Source organism: Homo sapiens, chromosome X (assembly GCF_000001405.40).
Source record: "Homo sapiens chromosome X, GRCh38.p14 Primary Assembly".
Classification (NCBI taxonomy): domain Eukaryota; kingdom Metazoa; phylum Chordata; class Mammalia; order Primates; family Hominidae; genus Homo; species Homo sapiens.
In genome coordinates, this window is record NC_000023.11 from 147,843,452 (window position 1) to 147,859,213 (window position 15,762).

The 15,762-nt window shown below is 40.0% G+C and overlaps 1 annotated feature.

Annotated features, from left to right (window-relative positions):
* Positions 14,134–15,085: an origin of replication, noted in NCBI's record as "SNP1F/SNP1R amplicon; peak of nascent strand synthesis detected by quantitative PCR of size-fractionated DNA". NCBI's record gives the evidence for it as "EXISTENCE:fractionation evidence [ECO:0000100][PMID:25179629]".

A 15,762-nucleotide genomic window follows, 5' to 3' on the forward strand; every position in this document is an offset into this window, starting at 1 on the left:
TAGTAATGTTTTTACATAATTATAATGCAAAATTAAATTTTAAAAAAGCAATTCACAAAACTCTGTTTCTTTGAGACAGGGTCTCCCTCTTTCTCCAGGCTTCAGTGCAGTGGCTGGATCATGGCTCACTGCAGCCTGAAACCCCCAGGCTCAAGCGGTCCTCCCATCTCAGCCTTCTGAGTAGCTGAGATTACAGGCATGTGCCACCACATCTGGCTAATTTCTTTTTTTTTTTTTTTTTTTTGTAAAGGCAAGGTCTCACTCTGTTGCCCAGGCTGATCTTGAATTCCTAGCCTCAAGTGATCCTTCTGCCTCGGCCTTCCAAAGGGCTTGGATTATAGGCATGAGCCATATCCATAAAATTCTAAAGCAAAACAAAGAAAATTAGCATAACCATTTACAGAGTGGTGGCATAACCTCAAAAAAATAAGGATACAAGTCTATTCTTGCATACATGTAAAATTTTCTATGAGTGGGAGAGGGAGAGGGAAAGGGATGAGGAATGGGGGATGAGGGATGAGGGATGAGAGATATCATCCAGAAAGATAGGAGGAAAACATAATGTGAAGTCAAAGAAACTATTCTTTAAGCAAGAGAGAATAATCAAAACAATGAAATGCTGCCCAGAGGTCAAATAAAATGAGGAGTATGAAACATCCATTGCACTTAGCAACACTCAGTGAGTTGATTTAAAAACATTACATGAGCTAATTTTTGTATAAGTTATAAGGAAAGGGTCCAGTTTCTGTATTCTACATATGGCTAGCCAGTTTTCCCAGCACCATTTATTAAATAGGGAATCCTTTCCCCATTGCTTGTTTTTGTCAGGTTTGTCGAAGATCAGATGGTTGTAGATATGTGGTGTTATTTCTGAGGCCTCTGTTCTGTTCCATTGGTCTATATATCTGTTTTGGTAACAGTACCATGCTGTTTTGGTTACTGTAGCCTTGTAGTATAGTTTGAAGTCAGGTAGTGTGATGCCTCCAGCTTTGTTCTTTTTGCTTAGGATTGTCTTGGCTATATGGGCTCTTTTTTGGTGCCATATGAAATCTAAAGTAGTTTTTTCTAGTTCTGTGAAGAAAGTCAATGGTAGCTTGATGGGAATAGCATTGAATCTATACATTGCTTTGGGCAGTATGGCCATTTTCACAATATTGATTCTTCCTATCCATGAGCATGGAATGTTTTCCCATTTGTTTGTGTCCTCTCTTATTTCCTTGAGCAGTGGTTTGTGGTTCTCCTTGAAGAGGTCCTTCACATCCCTTGTAAGTTGGATTCCTAGGTATTTTATTCTCTTTGTAGCAATTGTGAATGGGAGGTCACTCATGATTTGGCTGTCTGTTTGTGTATTATTGGTGTAGAGGAATGCTTGTGATTTTTGCACATTGATTTTGTATCCTGAGACTTTGCTGAAGTTGCTTATCAGCTTACTGAGTTTTTGGGCTCGTGATCACTGGTCATTAGAGAAATGCAAATCAAAACCACAATGAGATACCATCTCACACCAGTTAGAATGGCGATCATTAAAAAGTCAGGAAACAACAGATGCTGGAGAGGATTTGGACAAATAGGAATGCTTTTAGACTCTTGATGGGAGTGTAATTTAGTTCAACCATTGTGGAAGACAGTTTGGCGATTCCTCCAGGATCTAGAACCAGAAATACCATTTGACCCAGCAATACCACTACTGGGTATATACCCAAAGGATTATAAATCATTCTACTATAAAGATACATGCACACGTATCTTTACTGCAGCACTATTCACAATAGCAAAGACTTGGAACCAACCCAAATGCCCATCAATGATAGACTGGATAAAGAAAATGTGGCACATATACACCATGAAATACTATGCAGCCCTAAAAAAGGATGAGTTCATGTCCTTTGCTGGGACATGGATGAAGCTGGAAACCATCATTCTCAGCAAACTAACACAGGAACAGAAAACCAAACACTGCATGTTCTCACTCATAAGCAGGAGTTGAACAATTAGAACATGTGGACACAGGGAGGGGAACATCACACACCAGGGCCTGTCAGGGGGTGGGGGGCACGAGGAAGGAGAGCATTAGGACAAATACCTAATGCATGCTGGGCTTAAAACCTAGATGACGGGTTGACGGGTACAGCAAACCACCATGGTACATGTATACCTATGTAACAAACCTGCACGTTCTGCCCATGTATCTCAGAACTTAAAGTATAAATACATACATACATACATACATACATACATACATACATACATACATTACATGTGGTTTGAAAAGGGCAAATGTTCTTACAGGGATACCATGATAGAAGGTGAAATCAAGAATGATCTGCACTACCCAGGATGTGTGAACATAATTCTCTTACTTCTGGCTTTCTACGCTTCCAAATTCTGACCCAAACACCATTTATCATATCCCGTTGCATAAGACAGGTTCAACTCCACCAAAATGAGGAGCTTACTTCATTTTGGTGGAGGCTCCAAGTTTTTGAAGGCCTCTGTAAGTGGCTCCGAAGGCATGAGAAGGAGTTAAGGAGGTAAGATTTGATCTGCTTGAGATGCAGCATGTTACACTGTATATTATTATTGTTGTTATTACTATTTATTTTTAGAGATGGGGTCTCACTATGTTGCCAAAGCTGGTCTCAAACTCCTGGGCTCAAGCAATCCTCCCACATCAGCTTCCTGAGGAGCTGGGACTATAGGTGTGTGCCACCACACCTACTTTATTATTATTATTATTATTACTAAATGGATACTAATATTGTGTTTACTAAGTACCAAATGCTATTCTAAGCACTGTATAAATATGGACTCATTGAATCCTCTCAAGCCCCCTATAAGGTGGATGATACTGTTATAAATTTTTGCTCTGGCTCTATTGCTTTCTCACCATGTGAGCTTGATCAAGTCATTTCTCCACTCTGTGCTTCAGTTTGCTCCTCTGTAAAATGCAGACTTTCATCTTGGGATTGCAAAAGTTCTTTTCAACCTTAACACTCTATAAGCTGTGATAATGAGAAATGAGCATTGCCCACTGACTTAACATGGTAGGGATGAGGATAATACTGACCTGGCCCTTTCTTTTTCCCATCTTCTCCCAACTTAGAGTTCTATTATCTATATTCTGTTGTTCCCCATACAGAAGGTGGAAAATGTTGAATAACTACAGTCCCTGGCTCTACACAGATGTTCAACAAATATTTTTAAATGTATTAATGAGTGAAAAATTCAACTATTCTAGCCTCCATTTCTTAGAGACCCTGTAATGATGTTTCTTTACCCAGAGAAGTGGTGACATTTTGGCCAAGGGTGTGTATATGTGCATACGTGTGTGTGTGCATGTGCTTGTGTGAGCATTTTTACAACCATGCTGCATTCCTGTCCAGATTCTTTTTACTCAAGAAAAGGACTGCTGTGGTCATTCAAAAGCTTTCAGTAAAGAATGTTCTGCAACACAAATTCATGCCGGTTGCTAAAGGAACAGATTTTTGAGAGCAGTCAAAAGTGGCTTGAGGCTCTTAAGAAAGTTGACTAAGTACTCTAAACACTAAAGAGAAAGCTGCATGTCAAGCTCTGCTGTTGATGGATTTAATTAAATGGCTGTTCCTTCAGGCTGTACGCAGGTTTGTTAAAGCATTCTTATGTATGCTTGCTTCTAAATTAATCAACAAATAATTAAAACTCAACTCTTCATTCTTTAAAGGTTTTCCCATAAAATTATTAAGGTAAAAGAAAAATGGTGGAGCCTCATGCCTTCAGAAAACCACAACTCAGAAATTATACATATTACATGAGGATTATTCGTGTTCCAAAAAAGTTCACTGAATGCAGTTCCTTTAAATAGCCTGCTCCCTCAGTGCGCTTAAGATGTGACTGGATTTTCCAAAGTTGTATCAACACAAAGCTTTTCAGGAAAACACATGTTTTGTAAAGTGAGGCTCCTCTATATTTGAACTGAGCAACCTTAAGTTGCCACTGTGTATCCAATAATTTTTATAGTTACTTGAACTGAAAACTCACTTTGAAGATGCAAAAAACAAAATTGTCCCATTGGAAGCTTTTCAGTAAACACAATACAGAAAGTTCGCATAACAGGGAGGAATTTCAAGTTAATTGTATCAAATACTTGGGTATCTTGTGATGGAACTACTGCATTTTATTAACAGCTGCAAATTAATTTCTGGATGATAGTTTCTCAGAAACTAATGTGCATATTTCCCAAATACAAAGTGAGTACATTCAGTATAACTCCTTGGTTGGGGTTATCAGAAACTCTTGGAAAACCTTCTTTGTTGTTCATTAGTTAATTTATGATTTAAAATGTTACCCAATGCAGTAGTCATGATTAATATATCTTATGAATTTTTCCCCTTGTGGTATATATGTACTAGGCAATACATATATACTATATACTATATATATAACACATATACCAAAAGGGGAACATTTCTTAAGAGATATTAATCATGACTACTGCATTGGGTAACATTTTAAAACATATGTAAATCTTTCTTCCCCACTACCACATGCAGATTACATTCGGATCTCCTTTTCTGTAATCTGCATGCGGTAGTGGGGAAGAAAAATAAGATTTAAAGCAGGAACATTTGAAAATGAGAAGCAGAAAAAGTGGTGCTCCTGAGGGAGTAGTCTTTCTCGTGGCATGCTGCCCAGATACTGCTATTCCTTCCTGGCTAAAGCCACACGGAAGATGAAAGGCAGAGGCCAAGAAACAGAGTGGAATTGTGGTGGGAAACAGAGCTTCATGGACGTCAGCAATTTGCAAAGCCGGAATGTCCAGTTTGAGAGTAACGCAGGCCAGGAAGCTGTAATGGTCAGTCAGTGGCACCTGGGCAGGGCAGCGTGGGCATCAGGGCTGTCACTCAGAAAGTCAGTGTTCCCAGTAAGAGTGGGACCCTGTGGTCATGCAACCAAGGGTGGAGTTTCTCAGAAGGATCATGTGACCTACAGCCCACCTTTTGTGAGAATTGTGCAGTATTGAGAGATGATGCAGACAAAAAATGGAGACACAAGGAAATATGATCCCACAAGACAACACAAAGAACAAATATGCAGAGGCCAAGAGAAAACAGTGTAAATGGCAGTAGCCACAGGAACAGCAGCAGGAACAGCAGCAGAAAACTGGAACACAAAGCATATGATTTTGCATCAGGATCAAAGACACTAGGAAAATGCAGCAGGAATCTGAGAGCCCCAAATGTACACTAGCAAGTACCGGTGAGATATTCAAAGTAGGGATAGCATGTGCTGTCAAGGGGGAAAAGAAAAAAAAAACAGAATTGAAACTTAGCCTACCACCTTAATATTTCATGATGTGTCAGGGCATGAAAAAAATATGTCCAGTGTGATGAGGTAGGACAGACAAAACCAGGACCTAGAGCAAGGTGTGCCTGCTATGGTGGGGCATGGACTTCTTGACAAAAGAGATTCCTAAATACCCTTACCAGGAGAACACTCTTCCAACAGGTTTAAGAGAACACTCTTAAACCATCCCCACCCAGCTGACTCTGGGTGATTTCAGCAGTGGGGGCCCCTTCAGCCATCTCCTGCCTGCAGCTGAACTCACTCCAGGCAAGCTGGTGCCAGCAATTAACCCTACAGGTCACAGTTTCCCCCAAGGGATGTGACACCTGGTTCTGCAGTTTTAGCAGGATCCCAGGCTGAATTCCCTTACATTCTATTGGCTTGTTTATTAAGCCCACATCTACTAAAACTGTCAGAAAAGTTTCAAGCTGGTTTCTCATGACCAAAAACATAATCCTATAATCCTTGAAAAATATTTTTGAACAGATAAACTGTACAGCGTAGTATCTGACACAGCCAGGAACCTGCAGGCCAACCCATCCCCCAAAGTACAAGCCTCCTCACAGCAGTCTGGTCTGGTTAGTGGGCCCCATCCAATACAGTTAACCCTTTCATGCCAATCAGGGTTCCAATCCTTCCTTGGAACTATAATCTTCTTAAATATTTTCTGCTAGGGTGCAGGTTACATGCAAAAAAAGAATCAATAAATAACGCTGCATGGAATAAGTGTTAATTTTCAACGAAGAATGCTGTTGGTTGGCCAAAACACCTAAACAAGATACACTGAAGGTAATATTTGCCTTCAGTAAGTCTAAATATTTTACCTTTGGATGATTAAAAGTTTAATACAAGGGTCTGATTTTTTTAAAAAAAGAAAGGTCTCTCATGTAATGTTTAAAAGAAAGCTCTCTCATGTAATGGAGGTCTGTTTAGGTTGATTTTTTTAAAATAAAATCTTACTTAAAGTTTGATCTTAGGTGGTTTTGAATTTTGAAAGTTTCATTTCCCTGAAAGAATATTGACAAGGAAGCAAAAGCTCTTATTCAATATGAAGCGAGTATAGTATTCCAATTGCCTAGGATTCTAACTTCCAGTAACTTTAACCAACAAGCTCAAACTGGACAATGAAAGTAAGTGAAAATGTCCCTGAGCCCTTGATGAAACTATAACAAAGGCCATACACTTTAGTAAGTAGTAGGTGAGGAAGCTGCTCTCCAGCCTTTCAACTAAAATTGTTGTTTTTGAATTATGTGTAATAATGAGGGGGTGAGAAATAAAACTGTGAGAAGAAGGTTCATTAATGAACTACAAAGAGAGAGAAAAGTCACTAGATGAGCCACAGAAGCCTGAGGAAATGCTCTAAGTGAACCCTGAGTACCCTGACAGGGCTACAAATAAAATACAATCTATGATGTTCCAAGGAATCATCAAGAAAGGGTTAAGTCAGGTTAAGTACTTTATGTTGAATAAAGCACAGAAAGTGCTTGAGGCATTTTAGAAATTTTCCAACTTTTGGGAAAACAAAGGGATAGACATTAGTTACGATGGGAAAATGCATTTACAGAGACTACCCCATTCCTTCATAGATAATACTCCATTCCCTCACAGAGAATACTGTATCCCTTATAGCTCAATAATAAATAGTAAGAATGGTTCTCAATGATTGAGTACCTTCACTCAGATAATCAGTGCTGGAGTTCAGGTTCAAATCCAGGATGGTCAGGCTTCAAACCCTTCCCATTACACAACAGCTCGACAATAAGAAAACCTGATTAAAAGCAGGTAAAGGATTTCATTAGAAATTTCTCCAAAGATTATAGAAATGGTCAAGGGGTACATGAAAAGATACTCAACATCATTAGTCATCAGAGGAATACAAATCAAAACCAGAATGAGATACCACTTCACACCTTAGAGCTTCCATTTGTATTCATGACCTCCTTTGCAAAGTAGAAATTGAATTATTGTTGTGGTATAGATTTGTTCTATATAACCTTGGGAGAGGGATGGCTATAATCAAAATGACAGATAATAACAAGTGTATGTTGGGTGTGGTGGCTCATGCCTGTAATTCCAACACTTTGGGAGGCCAAGACAGGAGGGTGGCTTGAGCCCAGGAGTTTGAGACCAGCCTGGGCAAAATGGTAAGTCTCCATCTCTACAAAAAATAAAAACTAAATAGCAAGTGTTGATGAGGATGTGGAGAAATTGGAACCCTCATACGTGCTGCTGGAAATGTAAAATGGTGCAACTGCTTTGCAGAACAGTCTGTCGGTTCTATAAAATATTAAACATAGTCACCATATGACTCAGCACTTTCACTTCTATGTGTGACCAGAGAGGAATGGAAACAAATATCCACACAAAATAGTTCATAGCAGCACTATTCATAATAGCCAAAAAGTGGAAGCAATCCAAATGTTTATCAACTGATGAATGGATAAACAAAATGTGGTATATTCGTATGGCAGAATATTATTCAGCCATAAAAAGAATGAAGTACTGATACATGCTACAATATGGACAAACCTTGAAAACATCACGCTAAGTAAAAAAGCCAGTCAGAAAATACCACATATTATACAATTCCAATTATAAGAAAACACAGAACAGGAAAATTTGTAACCACAGGAAGTAGATTAGTGGTTACCAGCAGCTAGGGTAGTTTGAGGATGGGAGGGATAGGGAGTGATGGCTAAGTGGTGTGGGGTATCTTCTTGGGGGTGATAAATATGTTCTAAAATTAATTGTGTTAATGGTTTCACAACTCTGTGAATACACTAAAAAACACTTAACTGTACACCTTAAATGGATGAATTATATGATATTTGAATCATATCTCAATAATGCTGATACATATGAAGATAGCACTTTTCTTCAACCTGCATATCTGAAGGACTCAACATTCAGCTTATTTGCTACTGAATTTTGTAAATTGCTCATGAAACGCTGTTGGTTGTGGAGTTATAGTCAGCAATGAACTTTTGCTGCTTTGTTTTAAGTGCACGTTCTTCTAAAGGTGCTGAGTGAAGTGAAAATGTTATGTTGTTATTTATTCCCAAGAACAGGAAAAAATATTTAGTAATTATATTTCATAATATATTAATATTAAATCAAGAGGTAAATCTATCTTGGCATGTGGAAGTTTTTATTTAATTATTTATTTGTACTATATATACTTAAGGTGTACAACATGATGTTTTGAGAAAAATCTACACAGTAAAATGATTACTACAGTCAAGCAATTAACATATCTATCACCTCACATAGGTTACCTTTCTGTGCATTCAATTTCTACACTTATTCGTCTTACACAACTGCAAGTTTGTATCCTTTGACCAAGATCTCTCCATTTTTCCCTTTCTGTACCCCTGGTAACCACGATTCTATTCTCTGTACCTATGTATTAGCTTTTTGGTGGGGAGGTTATCCATCCCCTCAAGCATTTATCCTTTGAGTTAAAAACAATTCAATTATACTCTATTAGTTACTTTTAAACATACAGTTAAGTTATTATTGACTATAGTCACCCTGTTGTGGGATCAAATAGTAGGACTTAATCATTCTTTCTATTTTTGTACCCATTAACCATCCCCACATCCCCCCCAGCCTTCCACTGTACTTGCTGCTCTCTGGTAACCACCCTTCTACTCTCTATGTTTCTGAGTTCAATCGTTTTGATTTTTACCTCCCACAAATAAGTGAGAACGTATGATATTTTTCTGTGCCTGGCTTACTTCACTTAGCATAATGATCTCCAGTTCCATCCATGTTGTTGCAGATGACAGGATCTCATTCATGTTTCTGGATGAACAGTACTCTATACTCCATTGTGTATAAGTACCACATTTTCTTTATGCATTCATCTGTTGATGGACACTTAGGTTGTTTCCAAATCTTAGCTACTGTGACCGGTGCTGAAACAAACATGAGAGTGAAGATTATCTCTTCAATATATTGATTTATTTCTTTGGGATATATGCCTAGCAGTGGGATTACTGAATCATATGGTAGCTCAATTTTTAGTTTGTTGAAGAACCTCCAAACTGTTCTCCACAGTGGTTTTAGTAATCTCCATTCCCACCAACAGTGTACAAGTGTTTTCTCCACATCCTCTCCAGCATTTGTTATTGCCTGTCTTTTGGATATAAGCCATTTTAACTGGCATGAGATGATATCTTGTTGTGGTTTTGATTTTCACTTCTCTGATGACCAGTGATGTTGAGCACCTTTTTGTGTTCCTGTTTGTCATTTGTATGTCTTCTTTTGGGAAATGTCTGTTGAAATCTTTTGCTCATCTTTTGATCAGATTATTAGATTTCTTCCTATAGAGCTGTTTGTGTTCCTTATACATTCTGGTTTTGAATCCCTTGTCAGATGAGTAGTTTGCAAATATTTTCTCCCATTCTGTGAGTCATCTCTTCACTTTGTTGTGCAGAAGCTTTATAATTTGATGAGATCCCATTAGTTCATTTTGCTTTGGTTGCCTGTGCTTATGGGTTACTGCTCAGGAAATTTTTGCCTAGAGCAGTGTCCTAAAGATTTTCCCCAAAGTTTTCTTGCTATAGTTTCATTGTTTGAGGCCTTAGATGTAAATCTTTAATCAATTTTGATTTGATTTTTTAATATGGCAAGAGATAGAGGTCTAGTTTCATTCTTCTGCAGATGGATATCCAGTTTTCCCAGCACCATTTATTGAAGAAACTCCCTCTTCCCCAGTATGTGTTCTTGGCACCTTTGTTGCAAATGAGTTCACTGTAAGTGTGTGGATTTGTTTCTAGTTTCTCTATTCCATTCCATTGGTCTATGTGCCTGATTTTATGCTGGTACCATGTTATTTTGGTTACTATACCTCTGTAGTATAACTTGAAGTCAGGTAAAATGATACCTGCAGTTTTGTTCTTTCTGCTTAAGCTAGTTTTGGCTATTTTGGGTCTTTTGTGGTTCCATATAAATTTTAGGATTATTTTTTCTATTTCTTTGAAGAACGCCACCTGTCTACCTTGTGTTCTATTTTATTGTGGCTAAGCTGGCACTTAAACTGCAAGACACAGTCTTTCCCACTCTTTCCTCCCCTTTCCACAAGCAGAGGAGTCTCACCCTGTAGCCACTGCCACCCCAGGCCATGAGGAGTACTGCCAGACTACCAACCAACATTCTCTTAAGACCCAGGGGCTCTTAAGTCAGCTTGTGGTGAATGTTGCCTGGCCTGGGACTCACCCTTCAGAGCAGTGGGCTCCCCTCAGGCCCAGGGTAAGTCCATAAATGCAGTCCAGGTGTCAAGTTTCGGAATTGGGGAACCCAAGAACCCATTTGGTGCTCTGTCCCTCTGTGGCTGTGTTGATACCTAAGGTGCAAGACAAAGTCCCTTTTACTTTGCCTTCTGCTTTTTTCAAGTAGAAGGAGTTTTGCCTCATAGCCACCAAAGCTGAGAACGTGCTGAATTTCACCTGCAGCCAGCAAGTCTCAGATGCTCACCAAAGACCCTTAATGTAGTACCTGGGTTTTGCAGCTGGTTATTTAGGGCCCAGGGCCTCCTCGGTTAGCAGGTGATGAATGCTGCCAGCACTAGGTCCTTCCCTTCAAGGCATCAGGTTCTCTTCTGGCTCGGGGTGTGTATTGAAATATCATCTGGGACCTAGGGCCTCGTATGGGTACTTCATGCTGGCTGGTGCCTTAGATGCAAGACAATGTCCTCCCCACTCTTCCCTCTCCTCTCCTCAAGCAGGAGGAATGGGTTTGTATTGGAGACTGGAACTGTGTGGCCCGGGGTGTTATAGGACGGGTGACACCAGCACTCCCTTGGCTGCCCAGCTGACGTCTCAGTATGTCACGTACCACCCCCAGTCCACTGACTCTGGGCCTAGTTCAGCACTGGGCCTTGCCTATGAGTTGCAGTCCTTATGGCCTAGACTGCCTTTCAAGTTCATTTAGAGACACAGAGCACTGTAGCCCTTGGTGGTGAGGTTTACAGGAACTCAAGGTTTGACCACTGGGATCAGCAATTCTCCTCTGGCTAGCACTAGTTTAAATGCTCCCTTAGTAAGCAGGTGTCAGCTGAGTTTGGTCCACTTTTCTTTTCTGCTCTAGCAGGACAACACTAAGTTCGGTTCCGCATAATTGCTGTGCTCTCCCTCCCCTGCAGCATCTGGAGATGCTCTCGGCACCAAGCTGCTGCTGTTGGGGGTGAGGGAGAGGTGACATTGGCTATTCAAGACTTTTTAAAAATCTCTTCAGTGCCTTTATCAGTGATATGAAGTTAAAGCCAGGTGCCACGAGTGCTCACCTGATTTTTGGTTCTTACAAAGGTATTTTTTTTTTCTGTGTAGATAGTTGTTTACTTGGTGTCCTTGAAGAGGGGGAGGATTGGTGGAGCCTTCTATTCTGCCATCTTGCTTCACCTATCTATCACACGTGGAAGTTTTTTCTTTACATTTTTAATTCATAAAATTATTTTTCCTGCTAAAAAATAATGCATAGCAAAAGCCTTTTGCCAGGATGGATTTCAGTCAACATGATCAGCCTCCTTTTTGAAGTACATTATTATCGTGACCAAGAGATTGTGTGAAACACTTCCAGTGCCCTGTGAGGGACTATAAAGGTAACCAATTATGGAAGAGAAGAAATAGAAGGAGCTAATCTTCTCTGTCCTGGCTTGCCTTTGCCCCGAACTCTTAAAAGAATTAATTCACTTCTCTGGGAGATACTGGGAAACTGAGGTCGTTATTGGCAGCCTTCAAACACTGTTCTTAATTTATGGATAGTTACTAAACCACATAATCACCGAGTTATCCCATTACAGGGCTCAGCAGAACCTAGGTCTGCAGCCCTGGGTGTGAAGTTCAATTGTGAGAGGTTTTGAGAGTGTTTATTAAAGAGGGCGTGAGTGTGCCCAGCCATCATGCAGACCATTTAGGCTCCCAACACACAGCCGAACGAAAGGATCCCATGCATAGGATTTGGCATTTATCCATTGAAATAATTTCCTTTCATTGATTTAAAATGATAATTCAATTAAAATAATTATTCCAATCAAACTTCATATCTTTTTGGCAGGCTCCGGGGGGGGGGGCCTCTGCCCTCAATGTTATTTTAGTATTTGCTTCATTTGTTTTCTCACTGGGCTGACTTTGGCTCTCTGACTCTTTGGAAAATTTTATGTCATTGAGCAATTACTGCACCCTTCTGGAGCTTTCCACTCAAGATGCAGAGAACAAGGGAAACAAAATATCCTAGAGAAATGTTGCACTTTGAATTCTGACCAGTGGAGGCCAAGAAATAACTGAGAATGGAATATGGTTGGGGTCACCCACCCATTCACCTAAATGTATACGTCCAAGAGGCTAGCCAGCCTGTGTTAAAGCTGTAAGGTGAGGATGAATGATAGTCTCACCATCTGATTCCTATCTTTTTAAAATTTCTTCATTTTTCTTTCAACGGCTGTTGTACTCTTGAAATGTATAACAGTTGTATCAGATCTCAGAAAATCTCTGATATGGTTTGGTTCTGCATCCCCACCCAAATCTCATGTCGAATTGTAATCCCTATGTGTCAGTGGAGGGGCCTGGTGGGAAATGATTCGATCATGGGGGTGGCCTTCCTTCTTGCTGTTCTCATTATAGAGTTCACATGAGAGCTGATGGTTTAAAAGTGTGGCACTTCCCCCCTCACTAGCTCTCTCTCCTGCCACCATGTAAGACATGCCTTGCTTCCCTTTCGCCTTCTGCCATGATTGTAAGTTTCCTGAGGCCTCCCCAACCACACAGAACTGTGAGTCAATTAAACCTTTCTTGTTTATTAAAATAAATAAATAATGCAAAATCAACATGGAAAATTCAAAAACTGCAGAAAATACAAGCCAGTCAATTCTATTCTCGCGCACAATATAACAACTGTTAACATATTGATGTATTTTGTCCTTTGTTTTGCAATACATATTTTTTCACATATTTGTGATCACATGGTGCACTTCAACATTTATCCCCTATCTACTTTCATTATTGCTTTGAGAAATGAGCCTAGTGAAATGTGTACCAGAGCACTGATCTATCTCTTAAGGTACATCTTCCCTCCCCTCTTAACCTTCTTTTCCCTGGAGCTCAGCCCCATCATCAATTGAGCCTGAAGACAATGAAATCATTAAGAAGAAAAGCTATGAAAAAAAGGCTTGAAGTGTCCATCATCTTGAAGTGTCCATCCATCACCATAAAGCTTACTGTTGTCTCTCTCAGGGTTACATGGAATGAATCAATACCGCAGCAACAGTTGAATTTCATCTTTGTAAATAAGGTCATGAATAAAAACAGAGAAGTTAAAGAGACTAAGCACTCTTCTAATCAAGTATCTGACCCCTTCACCACATCACAGGAGATCTGTTATGCTGTCACAATCTTCTCAATATATAACCTCTTTCATGTTGTTAATAGAACAACACACCAGTTCTCCAGAAAGTAGAAGGCTGTGTTGCCACTGTTAGGGCATGATCATTAATACTGTAAAATCATTCCAGGCTGAACGTTGTATTTTAAAAGCTGTTGGGCATGGTGGCACACACCTGTAACCCCAACTACTCAGGAAGCTGAGGTGGGAGGATCACCTGAGCCCAGGAGTTCAAGGCCAACCTGGGCAATACAATGAGACCTCTGTCTCTAAAAAATAAAAATTTGTAAAAAGACAATGATACAAATTGCATCTATAAGCAGTGTGAAGCCTGTTTAAAGCATCAGGAAACAGAAGCTGTGCATTAGTCCAGTCTCACACTGCTATAAAGAAACACCTGAAACTGTGTAACTTATTTTTTAAAAAAAGAGATTTAATTGGCTCACGGTTCCACAGGCTATACAGGAAGCATGGTCGGGGGAGGCCACAGGAAACTTACAATTATGGCAGAAGGTGAAGGGGAAGCTGGCATGTCCTACATGGCTGGAGCAGGAGAAGACAGAGCAAAGGGGAAAGTGCCACATGCTTTTAACCATCAGATCTCATGAGAACTTACTATCATGAGAGCAGCAAGGGGAAAATGTACCCCCATGTTCCAATCACCACCCGCCGGGTCTCCCTCAACATTGGGAATTACAAGTCAACATGAGATTTGGGTAGAGACGCAGAGCCAAGCCATATTAAGCTCCATCTATTCCAAAGTCCCCAGCCAGCAAAAGCTGATAGATCCAAAACTTGCAAATATAATAAATATAAAGGAGTTATTGTCCTATACAGCAGTTGTCCCCAACCCCCAGGCTATGGACAGGTACTGTTCCATGACCTGTTACAATAGTGAAACCAGGCCACACAGCAGGAGGTGAGTGGTGGGCTAGTGAGTGTTACCTCCTGAGCTTCACCTCCTGTCAGATCATCAGGCATTAAATTTGCATAGGCGTGTAAACCCTATCGTGAACTGTGCATGGAGGAATCTAGGTTGCATGCTCATTATAATAATCTGGTGCCTGATAATTTGACATGGAACAATTTTATCCCAAAATCATCTTCTCCCATCTCGCAGTCTGTGGAAAATTTGTCTTCCATGAAACGGGTCCCTGATGCCAAAAAGGTTGGGGACCGCTGCTATACAACTTTATAAAGTCCCTGTGCCTGGGAAATGTACCGGTGCGCATATGTGTTCTGTTGCGGGAAGTGCTATTTGATCCAACAAAGCCCAAAGCCCCACATTTAAAAAATGTTTGCTGAAGGTAAGATCCACAGATACACACTGCAAGATCTACCAAGGCAACAGCCTTGATGACCATGGTAGCAAGCCTGAAGTTGCTGAAATGTTGAGTAGGTATCAGATAAGAGACCTGCTGCTAATACCCTTGTGAATCATTAGGTCGCAGTTTTCTCCTTTACATGCTCATTATTAAAGTGCCTTAGACCCCCTTGTGTACAGATGAAAAATAATACATTAAAAGAAAAAGAAATCACCTTAAGCCAGTTGTTCTTTGGATCTAACTGTGATTGAAAGTGCTATTAGGACAAAAGCAGAAAGAAACAGATTATTCAAAGCCTGTAACATTAGTCACTAATAGATTCTGTGGGAGAACTAAATGTAATCAGATAGGTACATTGTATGATGTCAAATTAACCCATCTTTTCAAGGACTATGGTGCTGAGAAAAACGAAGCAAAAATGTGTGTAGTTGTGAATCCAAAGGTTTACAGTTATGAACAATACTCAATTCGTGCAATTTACTAGAATGACCTGAAGTAAAAGTAGCCAGTCCCTTAGGCAGGAAAATATTTGGCTAAAACACGGCAAGAAGCACAAACCAACTCTTGAGGAAGTGTGAGTGTTATGAGAAGCCAGTTGGGGTGGAATAATTTGTTAAATGAATGTTTTCTTCTACCTTCACCTTGATAAACAAGCACCTCTGAAGTGAGCAGAAGCCTTAAGGAACAGCTATCTTGTGCAAGGATGATGACCAGACTTCAGTAAACAAGTGGTTGA